General features: G+C 39.1%; 1 protein-coding gene, 1 long non-coding RNA gene and 1 pseudogene across 2 annotated transcripts in view; 2 read left to right on the top strand and 1 right to left on the bottom strand.

Moving 5' to 3' along the window:
• Window positions 1-393: 393 nt before the first annotated feature.
• NPVF (neuropeptide VF precursor) lies at window positions 394-4310 on the top strand. The gene is made up of 3 exons (NM_022150.3): window positions 394-578; window positions 1854-2254; window positions 3707-4310. Exons 1-3 carry the CDS (start codon window positions 441-443, stop codon window positions 3756-3758), a joined length of 591 nt encoding a protein of 196 aa, NP_071433.3. The 5' UTR covers window positions 394-440; the 3' UTR covers window positions 3759-4310.
• Window positions 4311-13420: 9110 nt separating this feature from the next.
• The window catches only part of LOC124901603 (uncharacterized), a 61442-nt gene continuing 53495 nt past the window's right edge, over window positions 13421-21367 (bottom strand). Inside the window, exons 2-3 of the long non-coding RNA XR_007060261.1 lie at window positions 14684-14882; window positions 13421-13631 (exon numbers count right to left, since the gene is read on the bottom strand). This is a non-coding gene — a long non-coding RNA (uncharacterized LOC124901603). The remainder of the gene's footprint in view (window positions 13632-14683; window positions 14883-21367) is intronic.
• On the top strand, window positions 15895-16716 carry RPL7AP41 (ribosomal protein L7a pseudogene 41; annotated as a pseudogene).

The raw sequence follows: 21367 nt of genomic DNA, 5'->3' as shown, positions 1-21367 counted from the left end.
TTAAAAAAAAAAAAACATAGCTAGCATGGATTGAATACTTCCTTTTCCTTCCCTCAAGAATTGACACAAACACCAAAAACAAAATACTTTTTGTTTAAGCTTAGAGAAATGAAGCATTCTGTCTGTTTGGAATCTTAATTACTATCCCCCCAAACTTACCTAATTAGAAGCTCTTTTATAATGAGGAAAATTATTTTCAAAGTTAATGAATTTGCAAGCACAAACATTGCTGTCTTCCCAGAATGAATTATTCACATTCCTTACATGCATATTTTAGTTGTACACTCTAATTAATATTAGTACTTAAAATGTGTGAGATTGATTTCACTGTTTAAAAAAAACTTTCCTTTGTTTTTAGACGATATAAAAACACCACAATTTTTTTCTCCTCTCATAAACATTGGGCTGCACATAGAGACTTAATTTTAGATTTAGACAAAATGGAAATTATTTCATCAAAACTATTCATTTTATTGACTTTAGCCACTTCAAGCTTGTTAACATCAAACATTTTTTGTGCAGATGAATTAGTGATGTCCAATCTTCACAGCAAAGAAAATTATGACAAATATTCTGAGGTAAGTTTTTTAAATCTCTCTAATGTGAGTAGCATTAATTACATAATATTAATCCTAAGTCTAATGATTTTGTAAAGACTAAGAAGTAAGTTGGTGTGTACTCTGTTTTTTTGTGAAATTTCAGCCTTCCTCTGACAATGTATAAATGTCACTTGTTTATTTAGCACGACAGCAATCAGGCTGGCCTCTGTCATGACAATTGTACTGGTGAGTATGGTACTTAGCAAGCATACAGCGCATTAATAATTTTCAATCAACTCACAAGTGCATATTTGTAATAAATGGTTGGCAGAAATAAGATTTGGGTACATTTCAGCTGGACATTCAAATTGTTTTAAACTACAAACAAACAAACAAAAAACACATTTCTTTTGGGCTTAGCAATTACAAACTGGCCAATGTGTACTAAATCTATATCTTAGTAAAGTGTTTACCTGTAGATGGTAAAATTGCAAATTGTTTTTATTTTCTTTTATGTGTTTTCCAAATCTGATGAAATTAGCGTGTATACTCATTTTACTCAAGGGATAATCAGAAAACAATCATTTAAAAATTTCCATATGGACAAGCTCCTATGGTAAAGACTAAATCTAATTAAATATTCTCTGTATTTGAGATGGTTCCTACAAAGTTGGCATACTTGTGATGCAGTAACCCATAAACCAATGAGTTCTTTGCTAAAAATGTATTTTATATTCTAATAAAAATGCAATTGGTTTCTTGAGAAAGCTTTAGAGTGGTACCCTGAGTAAGATAGAATAAAAAAGAAATCCACTGGGCCTTCTACAACTATACCCCAAAACCTGGCCAGCATCTCTGTTTTGATGTACCGTGTTTCCATGTGCCACTTTGGCCTTTAAAGAGAAACATGAAAAATGAGTGGGAGGTTTCTCTAAAATCAAATTATAAAAATATATAAAATATTCCATAAGCAACATGAATCAAAAAAACCAAAAGAGAATAACTGCAGTAAAATAAACTTTTGCCACATTTCAGTACTTCATTATGTTCCTGCTGCTTGAACTCATTGCTGTATTCACTATATATATTTTATAAATATTTTATGGTTGTCTTACAATAGTCTAGGGACAGAGAAACTATATTGCTTTAAAAAGCTTAATACAAATCATTTAAAAATTCTGCACATATGAACACAAACTTTGTTTATAGCTTTAACAATTCTGCAGATTAAAGTCTAGATTTAAGTTAATTGGGGGTTTAAATCTGTTGCTTATAACAACAGTATGTTATTGTAATGGTCATTTCTAATTATAGCCTAGAGGATACCCAAAAGGGGAAAGAAGCCTCAATTTTGAGGAATTAAAAGATTGGGGACCAAAAAATGTTATTAAGATGAGTACACCTGCAGTCAATAAAATGCCACACTCCTTCGCCAACTTGCCATTGAGATTTGGGAGGAACGTTCAAGAAGAAAGAAGTGCTGGAGCAACAGCCAACCTGCCTCTGAGATCTGGAAGAAATATGGAGGTGAGCCTCGTGAGACGTGTTCCTAACCTGCCCCAAAGGTTTGGGAGAACAACAACAGCCAAAAGTGTCTGCAGGATGCTGAGTGATTTGTGTCAAGGATCCATGCATTCACCATGTGCCAATGACTTATTTTACTCCATGACCTGCCAGCACCAAGAAATCCAGAATCCCGATCAAAAACAGTCAAGGTAAATACCTGGAAACCAGTCAAAGTGCATGGGCAGTTATATAGAGGTGGTCTAGAAACTTTAAAAATGACTACATCTTTTCAACATAAGTTTCTAAGACAGTAAGTTTCCTAGCAGGAGAGAGAGGCAAAGACACAAGGAACTAAATACCTGTAAATTGGGAACTATAGAAGGCCAGGTATAATAAGCATGGCTCAAGGTATAAAATCATAGGATGGCTTCCCCTAAGCCACATATAAGCATCAATCTCCTTATCCTATAGCTGCTCACTAAGTCCATGCAATGACAGTATATTGTCTAAACGCTGGACCTCTCCCACATAAAAAGTCTCATGGGAGAGAGTTGTTCAGGTGCAAAGGACCCCATCTCAATAATCTAGGTCTCAAATGCAGCAGGTTTTCTTTCCTAACTTTTAATCAAAGTGTTTTCTTTTATCTGGATCTCATCTTATAAACTCTGTTATAATCATTATTTATATTAAGAAATATGTATTATCTCCTATGTACACATCAGAATGTAAGATTTAAAAATTAATAACCTACCTACCTGTTCTTTTATAGTAGAGAGCGTATGCTTAAAAAAAATTTTTTTTATATGAAGTAGAACATGATGCTTTAGTTAAGACCTGAAGAAAGTACAGTGGCAGATTGTGTCACCTTATCTGAGAGACCTTCTCAGGACACTCCAGGTTTGTTCTTTTCCATGGTACTTATCCCATCTGACATATATTTAGGGTTCATTGCCTTTATTAGAATTTCAGTCCTACAAATCCCATAATTTTTGTCCACTGCCATATGCCCAGAGCCTAAGAACTGTGTCTACCACATAGTAAGCCCTCAATATCTGACGGGATGAATGAAATAAGAGAGGCACTAATAAGGTCCTGCAGAGGGTCAGAAAAAAAGAGAGTGTTTCTGTATGTGGAAACCTGCCTTTCAAAAGCAGCTTTCTCTTGAACATTCGGAGACTGGTGAGAAGAGGGAGGTCATTTTTAGGCACTAAAGCAAGGTGAGCCAAGAACAGCCGAGGCGCCCTTTGGCAAGAGCAAAAAGGATGTGAAGAAGAGAGGAAAGAAGTCTAGACCGTTAGAGTAAGAGCAGAGAGCGCAGATATTGAGGACCCGGACAAGGACTTGGGGCGTCATTCATCAGGAGAGGGAGAACCACTGACATTTCTGCTGAGGTTGTGGGATGTTATACAGAGGCAGAATTGACAGCTAATCAGATGTTGGGAGTGGGGCGGTGTGGAGGGAGAGAGATGAATCAATGATAAGTGTTTGGGACTGAGTGCCCATCACAGATTCAGCATCCCCCCAATATCTCACTCATTTCAAGTGCAACACAATTCAACTCAAGTATAATTAGGCAGTTAGGACTATGGCTTGTATTTGTATACACACTTGCATGCTGTTGTTCTGATGGGTGACAACATTTTATACTGCTTACATTTTAGGAGACTGCTATTCAAGAAAATAGATGATGCAGAATTGAAACAAGAAAAATAAGAAACCTGGAGCCTGTCCCTAAAGCTGTGGCCTGTAATCTACAAATGGCTCTATAGCGAAGACCACACGGAAGAGTAGCTACATACACTTCATCAGCTATGGATCATCAACGGCAATTTTTCCTTGTCAGTACAGCTATAATAGTATCTTGAAAGTTGTAAAAAAATTAAAGCATATTTGTTACGTAAAGTTAAAATGATTTTTGTCTGAATAAAAAAAAAGCATTGCAAATGCTTTAGAAATCTCTGATAATGGAGAGAGAGACAGAGGACCCTCCTCACTACCCTATATAAAAATCATTGGCACAGTTACACTTAATAAAAAAAATTAAACAGAAGAGCACCCTGAAAAACATTATGATGGAAATTAAATAGTATGCCAGAATAACATGGTTGACAAATAAGTGAACAAGGATTAAAAATCACTTACAAACGTGTTTCTGTACACCCTTTCTATCGTGTCAAATGTTAATGAATCTGTGATCAATTGAAATGTAAATGTCTGTGTAAAACTACAAAATAAAAACTCTTAGACTTTAGGGAGAAAAGAAAAAGGCAACTATGAGTTACCTCTTTTAGTGTCTCCTCTATCTACATCCAGAAATTTGCCTCTAGTGAGTTTCTTTCCTCCTCATTTAACATTTCAAGTTTTTGATTTGCAAAAAGATCTGGCTATTCCTCAACTAAGAATTTATAAATTCAGTACACCACAACACAATGCAGTGACTTTCCTTTAACCCTAAGGATATGAAGTCCTTCATCAGATATAGCTAGTTTATTGAACAGTCTCAACCCCACTGGGTGCACACAGGAAATGGTTTTATTTTTCTCCCAGTGTGCCCCGCGCTGGGCTGTGGTGAATCTCCCGCCCCTGCTGATTAAAGGTCCCTTAATGCTACCCTGGACATACTGCATAACTCCCTCGGTCACTTCCTGGTATTAAAAAACTTCGTCAAGTCCAGTTGAAGACTCCAACCTCATATCCAAAAATAAAGTGTCCCCACCCACCTCCATGGCTGGCTGGGCTGGTGGAAGGGCCTAAAGTGGGAAAGGGGCAGGTCTGCTCTTTCTGTCTTCCTCCCCTTTCTCACCTCAGAGGTAGGGTGCTGGGAGGGAACATGGTAGGCTCTGAAAAACAATCTCCCCTCCTATCTTCTCCAGGGCAAGGGAGGAATTGGGATGGTGGGGGTGGTCAAGAGAAGCGGTCTCCTCCTCTCTATATAAAGTTGCTGCTTCTACAGGAGCGTTCTTCGGGAAGACTCGCAGGGGCCTTCACACAGGTCACCTACCTGGGGGCTCTGGATGCTACTTGATCTCTTCCAACTACCCCCGTCTCATCTGTTCTCCCCATAGTTTTTATTGCCAGACAGAAAGGCTCAAGCCAGCTACCCTCCCAGCGACCGCTTGGAGCATAGAAAATGCAGACATCCCCCCAGCCAGACCAAGGGCGGACTGCAGGCTGCCCCTCCACTGCCCGCCGTCGTCTCCACCCCTCTGCCCCTGTTTGGGAGGGGGCAGGCAGGTCATAAGTCTACTGCCTAAGCAAGCAGCCAGTCAAAAGTAGCATGCAGGGCGCCTGTCAAAACCCCATACTCTAGAAGTGGTTTTCTAGGAATGCCTCTTACTTGGCTTCCTGGGGGAGCAGCAGCTGCAGCAGACCCCCTCCAAGGCAAACCCTCATAACTGTACATGTTGGAAGGGCACAGCCAAGACAGGGAGGGCTGCTGTGGCTCTGCCGGGTCTTAGCAAACCACAAGCAGGTGTCTGGCTCTTGCCATCCATGGTTCTCTTTGCTTAGCATCTCTGCTAAAGTATTTAGCCTCTCTGTACACCTCCAGATGTGGTCCCCAGTTGCCAATTCTGAGTGACAGAGAGAGTATCCTGCAACGTCCTGCTACACTAATAAATAAAAGATCACCTGGTCCCGCGAGATTATGTGACACAGGGAAATTTCTTGTCATAGAAATGGATTCTTTACCTAAGCCCCTAATTTATGAGAAATGTTAGCTGAATAGCAAAGTGTTGGCTGTCCCCTCATCTGCTTGGCTTATTCTGTTGTGACACCACACCGGCTTCTTCACCAGCTTCCATAAGAACCCCATTCACGTAACTCAATGTGGAGCTTGCGATTTTGCAGAGAATTTGCAAGATCACATGGTGCAGCATTTCACTGGGAAAGTCTCCATCAGGCCTCTTCCGGCTCTCTCATTAACTGGACCCCTGGCAAGCTCCCCTCCTCTCTGACCTCTGTTACTCACTCCAGAGTGGCTTCATGGGTGTGCAATCCCTGCAGTCACACAAAGCCCCACACTTGGCTCAGTGCTCTGCTGTCACTGTCTTGAATTTGTTAAGTATTTCAAGGGGCCCCACGTTTATACTTTGCACTGGACCCTGCATATCATGCAGCCTGTCTTGCTTCCCCCAGAATCAGCCCTGCTGGATCCCACAACATCCCATTCCCCGCCACCCATGTTTATTAATCAGAGCAGCTTCCATTTTCTACATCAGACCCAAAAGCCAGCTTCATGCAGGCCTGGGAGGTCTGCTTTCATCCTACAGTGGGTATAAAATACAACTGCGTGACTCATGAAGTGTGCTCAAAATGCAAATTTATTTTTGTGTCCCACTGCCCCTTTCTAATATAAGGGATGGGGAAGAGGGTGTGCAGAAATCTTCCTCTGACCCTCAACGGAAACTTGGCCAGATGCCATGAACTTCACCTCTCTCTTAAGTAATGTTAAGCCTTTGGCCTCTCTGAGTCAAAAACACAGTCTCAATTCCATTGTCATCAACCTTTCAGCCTGCATTCAGCTGTTCATACATTCATTCTGCACCCTTCCCATGCTGAGGCCTGAGTCTGGAGACAGGACTGTGGTTGGCTTCCGTTCTCTCTTCCACCCTCATCTGCCGCTTCTCTCCCTGGCTGCCTTTTTGGACTCCACTGGGAGTTAAGAGAATTTGGGATGAGAGGAGAGGGGATGGGACAGTTCTCACCTGGATGGACTCACTCTCAGGAATGAGGGGATGGCACTGCCGACCATTACCGGACACTCTCCCTGCCATTCTGTCATCCTGTGAAATCTTCCGGGCCCCACAGTGGCCTCAGCCCTCAGCCCTGGGGCATGGGCATCCACTCCATACATGCCTATTTCTCTTCTGGGGTCCTCTTGAGTAGGACTTGAAATATCTCCAGTAACTCTCTGTCTGCTGCAGCCTGTGTCTGGTTGTGCGCAGCTCACCCTCCACACCTGGCTGTGATCCCAAATGGCTCCTCTGTCCTGCTGCCCCCAGGCTCTTCAGCCTTTTTGGCTTTTGTTTTTCTCAACCTCATAGAATACATTTCCTCATCATGTGGAAGCCCCTCCCTGATGAAGGGTGAGGACACAGTAATTCCAGACCCCTGGGCATGGACACAGGTTTCAGCTCACAGCGAGGTAACAACTCTCTCCAAAGGAATCTCTCCTGAACCCAAATCTTATCCTTTTATTGTCTCCAAGTGAGTGAAGGAAATGAGCATTGGTGGAACCAGTTTCCAACCACATCCTTCAGAAAGTCTGCAAATAGTGATCTGACTTTGGAATTATATGTCTATCAGTTTTGGTGGTTTTGGTTAAAGCTTCACTTTTCACATCCTTTGCAACAAAGATGAATCTCTCCTTAAGAGGAGTGCTCACGGCTGCTAAAATGATGTTTTCTCTGAATCAATAAGCGTATATATACATTTTTGTGGAGAGAGAGTTCATAATGCTTGTGGAGATTCTCAAAGCGGTTTGTAATCCATAAAGTTTAAGAATCACTATAATAAAAGATTATGGCTAGAATTATTTTAAGTTAATATCTAATCCAACTTACAGATGAATACAGTTATCTGATTGGCCATTTAGGTGTTGAGAACATAATGCCGGAACAATCAAAATCATTTCAGTAATTTAGCTTGAACTTCCTCCAAATACTGGCATTGACAGTGGCATAAAATAGAAGTGAGGTGGTAATTGTGTTCTTCTCCTTAATGTGCTTTTCCAGGTACTTCCTTCCCAGTATCCATTCCACTTTTCTCTTCTCTTCCAACACTTCCCTTTCCCAAGGAAATTCCATCTGGACTGGTCCTAACCCAAGCTTCAGCTGGCCTGTGAAGAGAGCAGAGTGTGGGGCTTCAGGGGGACGCGGGATGGAACACACCCCACACAGCAAGGGTTTTCATGGAAGGCGGCTTTCACGTGCTCCCAGGTCTGCATTTCATACATCATACTATGACAACGACCTTGAGAAATACACAAAGGAAAAAAAATGTATTGACTCTGGGACAAATTTCTCAGTGAGAAAAATGAAAGGTCAGTGTTCACCTAACTGTGACCGACAAAATGAAATGGACAAGGAAGGTGAGTGTGTTGCCCTCCGTGTGTTTATTCTTTTTTTTCCCTTGAAGATCTTCTTGGGGACTTTATGTGAGGCTCTGTGACCAGAGTTTTCTTATTACTTAATTAACACACCAATCCACAAGTTATTTCCTGAAAACATGCACTTTCACATTTCCATGCCTTCATTCCTGCTAATTCCTTCAGCTCAAAGGCCTCTTTTCTACCGATCAAAATCCTTTGAAACACAGGTCAAATTTGGATGTAGCTGCATATAATAAAAACCTAAATAATACTGTTTTAACCAAGAGAAACTTTTTTTCTCCTCACACAAAATGATTGGGAAGGAAGCAGTTCTGGGCTGCCATGGGAATTCCACACCCTCATCCAAGATCCAAACCCTCCCATCCTGCTGCTGCACCGGCCTAAGTACATGACTCCACCACGCCGGCACATCCCTTTCCAGGCAGTAGAAACAAAGGGGCCAGGTAAAGACTCCTTCTTTTAAAAAAAAAAAAAAAAAAAAAAAAGCCTATTTAAAGAGCACCATCCAGTGGGGTGGAAAGCAAGGGGAAGGACAGCATTAGGACAAATACCTAATGCATGCGGGGCTTAAAACCTAGATGACGGGTTAATGGGTGCAGCAAACCACCATGGCATATGTATACCTACCTAACAAACATGCATGTTCTGCGCATGTATCCCAGAATTTAAAATAAAATAAATAAAGAGCACCATCTGACTACTTCCTCTTTCATGTAAGTGATCACTCCACTCTGCAGGTGAGACTGGGAAATGTCATTTCTCCATTAGGCGCATTGTCCCAATCACTATGACACAAAAAAGAGCATGAATATCAAGCGGACAACTTGACGGGTCCCCCTCACCAAATACGAGGTGACTTCTTTGTTATAGAAAATATGGAACATATTTTAATGGTTTTTCTTCACTAAACCAGGGTTAACAGTGGTTGTATGGACATTTGGGACTGTGTCATTCTTTGTTGTGGGGACTTCCTGGTGTATCGTAGGATGCTTAGCAGCATCGGAAGCCTCTAACCACCAGAGGCCAGTAGGATCGCTCCCCTACTGTGACAACCAAAAATATCTCCAGACATTGCCAAATGCTCCTGAGGGTGGAGTGGGGGGTCATCCCTAATTAGAAACTGCTGCACTAGACTGTTCTAATCATCTTTGAATCCCCTCCTCCCAGCTTAAAAATAATAGTAATTATTAATTGTTATGATAACTATGTATTTTAGCATTTAAGGCTATTTTAACCACTTCTGTTATATTCATTTTTATGTATGAGAACTGAGCTCAGAAAGAACTTTCCCAATAAATGGGAGCTAACAAGTGGGTTCAACCAAGGTCTGATTTTTAAGTGTTGCTCTTCTGAACCATCATCCACTGCCCTGTTCACTACCACACAACCAACCCTGCAGCATAATAAGCATTCAGGAAACATGCGTTGAATTATGTTTAAATAAGAAAAAAGTGGATATACTGAAGCCCAGGAATAAATCCTTGGAGTTTTAAAACACTATATAAAGATTTTAGAAGGAAGGGAGGGAGGGAGGAGAAGGGGGGAGAAAGGAAAAAAGGAAGAGAGGGAGCAAGGTAGGAAGAGGGAGAAGAAGGAAGAGAGGGGAAGGGAGGAAGAATGGGAAGAAAGAAGGACCATAGATTCCTGAAGAGCTTTAGTTTAGTTGTTCTTTAAGGTATCTACTTCTAGAGCAGGCAAGGAGATGCCTACCTTACCAGTCATGAGTGACTGTAAAAGGTAAAAGCATCACAGAATACAAGCTGGACCACTTTTATCTTAGACTCTCAAGGAGCAAGTCATGTTTTTTGATTTTTATCCTTTAGCAAAAAAGGTGCTATTGTTGGTGATAAAATTTGACTGTCAGTTTCTGCTTCAGTAGTAAAATTGAAGTGGTCCAAGCCAGGCACCGTGGCTCATGCCTGTAGTCCCAGCACTTTGGGAGGCTGTTGGGTGGATCACTTGAAACCAGGAGTTTGAGACCAGCCTGGGCAACAAAGTGAGATCCCATCTCTATGTTTTTAAATTTTGTAATAAAAGGAAATTGAAGTGGTCCAGAGAGCCACTGAAATATGCATTCATGGCAAATGGAGTGAAGGCAAAGGCGGCCAGTAGGTAAACTTCTGCCTGGATGGGTCTTGCCTCCCTGGGTTATTTGCAGTCTGCGACAGATCTCATTCATGAATTAGGACAAAGCAGTAAAGGAATTAAAGTAAATCAGAAGTAAGTTTGCTCCTGCGCACTGGCATGAATTGTACTAGCTGTTCCCTCCCTCTCACTCAGATGAGTGTGTGCTGGTGAATGCTCTGTGGAAAATAGAATCACTTTGCTTCTTGGAGTCAGGCCTGAATTCGGAAAATATTATGTGGTGAGCATTTGTCCCTCTTCATTATATCCACTGTTTACTTGGATTTCTTATTAAGTGGCCCAGAGTTCCTGAAATGTTTATTAGATGTTGCACATTTTATTCACCATTGCTAGAAATACTAAAAATCAGAAAGATTCCATTTGCCCTTTTTAAATTTTTTAAATTGTAGTAAAATATACATAACATAAAGTTTACCATTGTAACCATCTTGATGTGTACAATTCAGTGGCATTAAGTACATTTCACTTGCCTTTTTACATAGTCTGATGCTATTCACTAATTATGCTCACACTATTAATACCTACAAAATCACACCCAAAGCTTAAGTGCTATTTTGGCTACCATAAAAAAAATCCTATGAGAAAAACAAGGTTTTATAAATGACAGACTTATTTAGTAATGTCATGTTTTTCACCAGAACATTAAATTTTTCCTACAGTCCCGTTAAGCCTATCTTAAAAGGGGGTAGTTGTTGCTAATTTTTTTTCTCCCGAACTCTTTTATCATTTCACCAGTTTATAATATATTAGATTCACCTGAGACAAGAGCTACTGCGTCTTTGGAAATGCCTGGGACAGCAAAGGTTTCTGTTAGCAGTCAGAGATGGAGAGACATTAATTTCAGCACAGTAATGAAAATGAAGAGTTGATTAGTTTAATTTTCCTAAGAAATGAAGAATGGTCAACAATCACTCATCTGCTATTTTATAGCACTTTTCTTTGACCTTCTGGGCTCCTCCACATCCTTCCTAATAGCCTATTTATACTTTGCTTCTCATCTGCTTCCCTGATCTTTTTATATTGCAGTCAATAAAATTTAGAACCTTTACACCTAGTATCTTAGAATATATAATAATAACAATTAGTCAAATAGATGCCCAAGGATAACTAATAAAAATAATTGCTCATAAAATATGCCACGGCATTTTCCTTTTATAATATAACACAAATGTGATACATATAATCCTATATGTAGCTTAGGAAATAGAAAGTATTATCACCCATTATTCTCTTCCTAAATATAGGAACTAAAGTATGAAAGAAGCCAAACAGGAAAATTACGATTAGAATCAGGAGTGGAATTAAATTATAACTAGATTAATGTCAAATTAATACTCTCTTTGTAGAAGTAGAGAAATATTATTTTAATCCTGAAAAAAAAATTATCTTAAAATTTATTTCACTTCTTGCCAGATTTCTAGGCATTGGTATATTGTGGTTAATAAATAAAACATAAAACTATTGTTTCTCTTTCTTAAAATATGCAACAACAGTAATTAGCTACAGCAACGCACCAACATAATTTTCAAACTGCTTTTAAAATATCACCTAGCTTCTCCTTTGTAATTGAAAGCACTGAGATGTGACAATATTGCAAAATTACTTTTGACCACTAGAGGGCAGAAAATACTCCACGTTTGTACATAACTAATTTTAAATTCTTAGACCAAAACAATAAACACCACCAGCACAACAAAAAGGCCTTCTTGTTTTATACTGTACACTTAAGGCTCAGTTAATAACCTTTAAACTTTTTAAATTTTAAACTAAAATATAAACATCAACAGTTTAAAGAAGGCAAAAGTAAACATGTTTGTTGCATCTTAAGTCTAGTTACACGTTAAGGATCATTTCTCAGCAGTGAGGAATCAGCACATCCTCTAGAAAAGGCAGAGGACTTAAAACAGCACCCACTGAGAATAAGCAAGACCATTTTTACATTAAAATATCTACAGTGGAATGCAAAGGTGGTATTTATTATAAAATTGAAAGTCACCAAAGTCCCAAAGCAATCTAATGCAAAACTATTTACATTTGAATCTTTAATTTCTACATATATTCTCTTTTACTACAAACCAACTAATTGTGGCAAAGATCTAATTGTGGCAAAGATGGTTTTGGTTTCCTCCTAATTTATCTATGTGACCTAATTAACTTTTGCTTCCCTCCCAATGAAGCCATTTGCATTTCAGTAACTAAGGCATTACTTTGTTTGATTAGAAAGTACAACCTCTTCACTTTTTCACTCTCATTAATTAAAACACATCGTGGTAAATTAAGCCATTTGGATTTCATCGTGGGTGGGTGACATTTTAACTACTGCCCCTTCAACCTTCTCTCTCTGTCAATCTCAGCTATGTCCTACATCACGGGAGAGCGAGAGGGCAATGGCAGCAGGCTGATGGAGGAACGGAGCCAGCAGGGAGCCAGGGGTTATACATCACTGCAGTCGGTGACTTCTCTGATGCATGAGGCACTCACTTGCCAATCAAACCTGATACAGCTTTTACCTTGTGGGGTTATGCGTGACTTTATCCAAGACATGAAATCATTTCTGAGGTCTAGTTTCTTAACCTACACAAACCTGCTCTCCCCACTTTTCAGGTCTCCCCACTCTTCACTCTAACACTAGTAAACACAGCACAGTGCTACAGCTAAGGTGGGGTTGGGACAGGGTGGAGGTGTCACTCCTAGTGGACTAAGAAAAGCAATGCACTTTTAAAAGCAGGGCTAGTCACAGAAGAGAAAAGCTTCTGTATTATCACCTATTGGTGGCAGTTACATACTGGCAAATTTGAAAGAATCTTCTAACAATTATAGCCGCCAGAAATAGATCTAACATGAGCCACAAGAAGGTGTTCAAGGATGGTTATACAACAGGAATATCACAGATGCCATTTCTGCATGAGATGTGAAGATTTATGAGTTGACTTCTAAACTCTTATAATTCTTCTTTTAAAATTAATTTTCTCTTTAACAAAGAGATACATGTATAAAGTTTTAAAATTCCAAAGAATTCCGCAAGGCTTTTAATCAAATTAATCACCCCGGTTTCCCAGGGACAGTTCTGATGTGTATGAGTCAGCTTGAGCTGCCACAACAAATACCATAGACTGGGTGGCTTAAACAACAGACTTTTAATGTATTTTTTCACATTCTGGAGAATGGAAGTCTGAGATTGGGACACCAGCATGGTGGAGTTCTCGCGAGGGCTATCTTCCTGGCTTGCAGATGGCCGCTTCTCACTATATGTTCGCATATCTTTTCCTTGGTGCATGTACATGAAGAGACAGCTATCTGTCTCTTCCTCTTCTTATGAGGACACAGTCCTATAGGATTAAGGACCCATCATTATGACTTCACTGAACCCTAAGTACTTCCTAAAGACCATCTCTCCAGATACAATCACATTGGAGGTTAGGGCTTCAACATATAAACTTGGGGTGGTAGGGGTGGGGGGCATGACTTAATTAATAGCAAAATTTATGCCTATTATCCCAGTGTAATTATTAACAGTGACCCCTTTCACTCTCAAAAATGTCTCAGTTGGATGGAAAATGACCACCCCAAGTCTCAATTTCATCCAATCCGAATTCCTCTTCCCCAGAAGCAACTACTTGCCATTTGTTATGACTTCCTCTATTTGGCTACAAACGTCTGAAAATCATGATTATACCAGGTGCATCAGTTGAAATTTGTGTTTGGATGGCGGGGCATGGTGGCTCACATCTGTAATCCCAGTACTTTCGGAGGCTGAGGCGGGTGGATCACCTGAGGTCTGGAGTTCGAGACCAGCCTGGCCAACATGGTGAAACTCCGTCTCTACTAAAAATACAAAAAATTAGCTGGGTGTGGTGGCGGGCATCTGTAATCCCAGCTACTCGGGAGGCTGAGGCAGGAGAATTGCTTGAATCTGGGAGGCAGAGGCTGCAGTGAGCTGAGGTTGTGCTATTGCACTCCAGCCTGGGCAACAAGAATGAAACTCCATTTCCAAAAACAAAAAAACAAAAAAAACTGCATTTTGATACTAATTTAGAGACCAAGGGGGAATATCACTGACTTAAACAGATAGAAAGGAGTGCCTGAGAGGTAAGTTGCATGAAGATTTATTCATCTGAAAATAAATTTTCCTACCTCTAAATTTTGTTAGAATTTTATATCCAACCAAAATCTCAGCAAAGTGAGGGGATAGGAAAAGTTGTGTCCTTGTTGAGACATGATACATACATCTCCCTTCAGGGTAGGATTTGCTACCCAAGCTGTCAGATCTAGCGGGGAACGTTCAGCTGCAGAGAGCTACCTGGCCCACCAGAACGCCTTCCCAGGTCAATGGCATCCAATACCCTGTCAAAAAAGGGGTATAAAGGCCATTTACACCCACCTGGGATTGCTCTGGTAGGCCATATGTGCTCTGGAGCGCCACAGAGGGTTAGCCAAGGTCTTGCCAAGGTTTCCTCACAGATGGACTTCTTTTTCTGCCCAGTTCTTCTTTTCCTTATCTTTCTTCCTCAGGTGTTGATCTTTAATAAACATCTTGTACTCCAAACTGCATCTCAGCATCTGCTTCCAGAAAAACCAACCTGTACCAAATGAGTAACACAGTTCAAAATTCAAAAGGTGCAAAAAAAAAAAAAAACAAATATATATATTTGCAAAATTCAAAAGGTGCAAAAAAACTAAAAATATATATATTTGTTAAAAATATATATATTCACTATATATATATTCACTATACATATTCACTATATATATTCACTATACATATATTCAATATATATATTCACTATATATATATTCACTATATATATTCAATATATATATTCACTATATATATTCAATATATATATTCACTATATATATTCAATATATATATTCACTATATATATATTCAATATATATATTCACTATATATATTCAATATATATATTCACTATATATATATTCAATATATATATTCACTATATATATATTCACTATATATATATTCACTATATATATATTCACTATATATATATTCACTATATATATATTCACTATATATATTCAATATATATATATTCACTATATATATTCACTATACATATATTCAATATATATATATTCACTATATGTATTCACTATATATATATTCACTATATATATTCACTATATATATATTCACTATATATATTCACTATATATATTCACTATATATATTCACTATATATATTCAATATATATATTCACTATATATATTCACTATATATATTCAATATATATATATTCAATATATATATATTCAATATATACATATTCAATATATATATTCACTATATATATTCACTATATATATTCACTATATATATTCACTATATATATATTCACTCTATATATATATGTGTGTGTATATATATATATATGTGTGTGTGTATATATATATATATATATATATATATATATATAGTGAAACCTCTCCCTCTCTCCATTCAATTCTAGTTACCAATTCCCCTGGCCAAAGTCAACCCATGTGACCAGGTTCTTATGCATATTTCCAGAAATTTTCTATGGGTATATAAGAAATGGTGTGTGTATGTAACTTATAAGAAAATATGGCTCTCTCTTCCTGCCACCCAAGATGCCGAAAGGAAAGAAGGCCAAGGGGAAGAAGGTGGCTCCGGCCCCTGCTGTCGTGAAGAAACAGGAGGTTAAGAAAGTGGCGAGTCCCCTGTTTGACAAAAGGCCTAAGAATTTTGGCATTGGACAGGACATCCAGCCCAAAAGAGACCTCACCTGCTTCATGAAATTGTCTGTATTAGGTTATATCAGGTTGCAGTGGCAGAGAGCCATTCTCCGTAAGCGACTTGAAAGTGCCTCCTGCGTGCGATTAACCAGTTCACCCAAGCCCTGCACCTCCAAACAGCTACTCAGCTGCTTCAGCTGGCCCACAACTACAGACCAGAGACAAAGCAAGAGAAGAAGCAGAGGCTGTTGGTCCGGGCTGAGAAGAAAGCTGCCAGCAAAGGGGACATCCCCACTAGGAGACCACTTGTCCTTCAAGCAGGAGTTAACACCGTCACCACCTTGGTGGAGAACAAGAAGACTCAGCTGGTGGTGATGGCACACGATGTGGATACCATCCAGCTGGTTGTCTTCCTGCCTGCCTTATGTCGTAAAATGGGGGTCTCTTCCCCTGCATTATCAAGGGGAAGGCAAGACTGGGACGTGTAGTCCACAGGAAGACCTGCACCACTGTTGCCTTCACGCAGGTGAACTCGGAAGACAAAGGAGCTTTGGCTAAGCTGGCGGAAGCTATGAGGACCAACTACAACAACAGATAACGATGAGATCCACCGTCACTGGGGAGGCAATGTCCTGGGTCCCAAATCTGTGGCTCACATTGCCAAGCTTGGAAAGGCAAAGTTTAAAGAACTTACCGGCCGGGCGCAGTGGCTCACGCCTGTAATCCCAACACTTTGGGAGGCCGAGGCGGGCGGATCACGAGGTCAGCAAATCGAGACCATCCTGGCTAACACGGTGAAACCCGGTCTCTACTAAAAAGACAAAAAAATAGCCAGGCATGGTGGCGGGAGCCTGTAGTCCCAGCTACTCAGGAGGCTGAGGCAGGAGAATGGCGTGAACCCGGGAGGCAGAGCTTGCAGGGAGCCGAGATCATGCCACTGCACTCCAGCCTGGGAGACAGAGTGAGATTCTGTCTCAAAAAAAAAAAGATATATTTTGGAGGTTTCACATTAGTACATAAAATGTATCATCAATAACGAAACCTATGGGATACAACAAAAGCAGTCCTAAGAGGAAAGTTTATAACAACACACACCTACATCAAAAAAGAAGAAAGACTGTAAAATTTGTGACAGTGAAAAAAAAAATTTTTTAAGCAGAAGATCCCAAATAAACCATCTAACATTACACCACAAGGAACTAGAAAAAGAACAAAACACACATTTTTGTTTTCTTTGAGACATGGTTTCATTCTGTCACCCAAGCTGGTGTGCAGTAGTGCAACTGGCTCACTGCAGCCTCTACCTCCCAGGTTCAAGCGATCCTCCCACTTCAGTCTCCCAAATAGCTAAGACCACAGGTGTGTGCCAGCCACCATGTCCAGCTAACTTTTTATTTTTTGTAAAGACCAGGTCTTGCTGTGTTCCCCAGGCTGGTGTTGAACTCTTGGGCTCAAGAGATCTTCCCACCTCACCCTCCTAAAGCATTAGGATTACAGGTGTGAGCCAGCATGCCTGGCCTAAACATGAAATTAAACAGAAGGAAGAAAACAATAAAAAGCAGAACATAAATAAATCAAATTAAGCACAGAAAAGCCATAGAAAGAATCAACAAAACTAACAGTTTTTTTGAAAAAATAAACAAAATTGACAAACCCTTAGCTAATTTAACTAAGGGAAAAAAAGAAGACTCAAATAAATCAAAAATGAAAGTGAAGAAATTGCAATCGATGCCTCAGAAATAAAAAGGATTATAAGAGATTATTATGAACAATTATTTGCCAACAAATTGAATAACCAGAGGAAATAAAGTCTTAGAAACCTACAACCTACTAAGACTGAGTCAGGAAGAAACAGAAAACCTGGACAGACCAATAATAAAGAGAGAGATTGAAGAAGTAATCAGAAACCTCCCAACAAAGAAAACCAGGGTCTGATGGCTTCACAGCTGAATTCTACCAAACATTCCAAGAGGAATTAATACCAGTACTTCTTAAACTCTTCTGAAAAATAGAGCCCCTCTTTTTTTTCCATCCTGACTAACACAGTGAAACCCTGTCTCTACTAAAAATACAAAAAATTAGCTGAGCGTGGCAGCATGCACCTGTAGTCCCAGCTGCTGGGGAGGCTGAGGCAGGAGAATGGCGTGAACCCAGGAGGCAGAGCTTGCAGTGAGCTGAGATTGCCCTACTGCACTCCAGCCTGGGCGATAGAGCAAGACTCCATCTCAAAAAAAAAAAAAAGAAAGAAAAAGAAAAATAGAGCCTGAAGAAATATATTTCCAAACTGATTTTATGAGGTCTGCATCACCTTGACACCTATGCCAGACAAAGATATCACAAGAAAGTAAAACTACAGACCAATTTATCTGATTAAAATTCATGCAAAAATTATCAATAAAATATTAGCAAACCCAATCCAACAAAACATCGAAACAATTATACATCATGATGAAGTGGGATTTATCCCTGGCATGCATGGCTGGTTCAAGATATGCAAATCAATCAATGTCATACATAACATTAACAGAATGAAAGACAAAGATCACATGATCATCTCAACTGGTACAGAAAAAGCATGGGACGAAGTCCAACATCCTTTCTTGATAAAAGTTCTCAACAGTTTAGGTATAGAAAAAAACTTTCAACGTAATAAAGGCCACTTACAAAAAATTCACAGCTAACATAATCAATGGGGAATAACTGAAATATTTACCACTAAGACCTGGTACAAGGCAAGGATGCCCACTCACCTTCCCTTATAAATACAATCCTAAAATTCAAATGGAAGCATAAACGACCCCAGAGAGCCAAAACAATTCTGAAAAGGAAAAACACAGTTGGAGGCATTACACTCCTGACTTAAAACTATATTGCAAAGCTATAGAAATCAAAACAGTAGGGTACTGGCATAAAAGCAGACACATATACTAGGAGAACAGAATGGAAAGCCCAGAAATAAATCTGAACATATACAGTCAACTAATTTCTAACAAGGACACCAACAAGGCAAATGGAGAGAAGATAGTTGCTTCAATGAATGATGCCTGGGAAAACTAGAATTCTATATGCAAAGAACAAAATTAGACCCATATCCATCATATACCATACACCAAAATCAACTCAAAATGGATAAATGACATAAATATAGGATCAGAAAGTATAAAACTCCTAGAAGAGAACATAGGGGGAAATCTCCTGGATATTGGCCTCAGCAATAGCTTTTTGTATATCACACCGAAATCTCAGACCTAAAAATAAAACTAAATAAATGGTATTATATCAAACTAAAAAGCTTCTGCACAGCAGAAAAAAAATGAAACAGCAGCCTATGGATTAGGAAAAAGTATTTGCAAACCATATATCTGATAAGGGGTTAATAACCAAAATTCATAAAAAACTCACACAACTAAATAGGGGGGAAACAACCTGTTTATAAACTGGGCAAAAGAGATGAGTAGGCTTTTCTCCAAGGGAGAAATAAGAGTTTCAAATAGGTGTATGAAAAGGTGCTCAATATCATTAATTATCATGGAACTGCAAATGAAAACCACTGTGAGATATCATCTCACACCTGTTAGGATGGACATTATCAAAAAGTCAAAAGATAACAAATGTTGGCAAGGGTGTGGAGAAAAGAAAATTTTTGTACACTGTTGGGGGATTGCAGATTGGTGCAGCCATTATGGAAAAGAGTACAGAGGTTTCTAAATAAATTAAAAATAGAACTACCACATGACCCCACAATCCCTCTTCTGGGCATATGATATACCTAAAAGAAATGAAATTACCACCTCATAAAGATGTCTACACTCCCATGTTTATTGCAGCATTACAATAGCCAAGCTATGGAAACAACCTAAGTCTCTGTGAACAAGTGGATAAAGAAACTGTGGTACACACGTACAGTGGAATATTATTCTACCTTAAAATGGAATGAGATCTTGCCATTTATCACACATGGATGAACCTGGAGGACATTATACAAAGTGAAGTAAGCCAGACACAAAAAGAAAAATATGGCAGGATCCTAATCTCACTTACATGTAACATCAAAAAAAAAAGTTAAATATTTAGAGATAGGGAACAAAACAGTGGTTAACAGAGATGGGGTGGGGAGGACATGGGGAGATATAGGTCCAAAGGTACAAAACAGCAGATATGTGGGGCAAACAAGTTTAGAGATCTGATGTACAACATGAGGACTGTAGGTAACAAAATTAGACTGGATATGGGATTCATCCTAAGACTGTAGATTTTAGCTGCTCCTGTCAAAAAAGCAAAAGAAAATGGGTAATTATGTGAAATGATGGATGTGTTAATTTGCTTCACTATAAGAACTTCTTTACAAAATATATATATAAAACCATAATAACATCATGCTATGTCTTAGACATGCACAATTTCTTTAAGTATCTTTATTTTTAATTGGTATTCCATTACAGAGATGTAACATAATTTATTTGGTGGACATTTAAGTTATATCAAAGCTTTTCCTATTACACACAATGCTGAACTGAATAATCTGTGTGTGTTCAAGCCCTGTGAGTGTGTGTGTAAAAGAAAAATTCCTAGAAGGGTAATTTCTAGGTCAAAATGCTAAACAGTCATAACTTTGATAGATATTGGTAAATTGCCCTCCATCTACACTGTACCGATTCACACTCCCTTGGAAAACATATGAAAGCCTATTTCTCCATACCCTTCCTTTATGTGTATAACTGAATTAAGAAAGTACCATATTAAATATAAACAAAAACTAGCCAAGTGCAGTGACTCACACCTATAATCCCAATGCTTTGGGAGGCCAAAGCACAAGAATTGCTTGGGGCCAAGAGTTCAAGACCAGCCTGCGCAATATAGTTAGACAATTTTTTTTAATTAGCCAGGAGTTGAGGTGTGCACCTTTAGACCTAGCTACTCAGGTTGCTGAGGCAGGAGGATTGCTTGTGCCCAGAAGTTCGAGGCTGCAGTGAGCTATGATTGCACCACTGTACTCCAGCATGGGCAACAGAATGAGACCCTGTCTCTATATAATAAGAATAATATAATGAAGATATAAATTTAAATATAACTTTCAGTGTTTTAAAATTAAAATATAAATTTAAAGTGTTGGGATAAAATTTAAAGTGTTGGGATAAAAATATATAGTATTCTAATATTTTCTTTCCAGGCCCTATTAGGTCATCTTGTGTCATCTTGGTTATGTCTCACCTTACTTTGGAAGCCAATGGTTTGCTAAACTGAAGAGTTTTCTGGGATCAGGGATCAGGCCTGAACAGTAGTTGTTCAAGTAACATTTATGAAATGGACAAAGTAATGGCAAAAAAAAGAAAGAAACCAGGTAGC

The sequence above is a fragment of the Homo sapiens genome, chromosome 7, assembly GCF_000001405.40.
Source record: "Homo sapiens chromosome 7, GRCh38.p14 Primary Assembly".
Lineage (NCBI taxonomy): Eukaryota > Metazoa > Chordata > Mammalia > Primates > Hominidae > Homo > Homo sapiens.
This window is presented reverse-complemented; position numbering and strand designations above follow the sequence as displayed.

What these genes read in the sequence shown, in the direction of transcription:
- NPVF (NM_022150.3), top strand. Translation starts at nt 441, where the DNA reads ATGGAAATTATTTCATCAAAACTATTCATTTTATTGACTTTAGCCACT. An exon ending in ATTATGACAAATATTCTGAG is followed by an intron (nt 579 to 1,853) that starts GTAAGTTTTTTA and finishes TTCTAATTATAG; the next exon opens with CCTAGAGGATACCCAAAAGG. An exon ending in CCCGATCAAAAACAGTCAAG is followed by an intron (nt 2,255 to 3,706) that starts GTAAATACCTGG and finishes CTTACATTTTAG; the next exon opens with GAGACTGCTATTCAAGAAAA.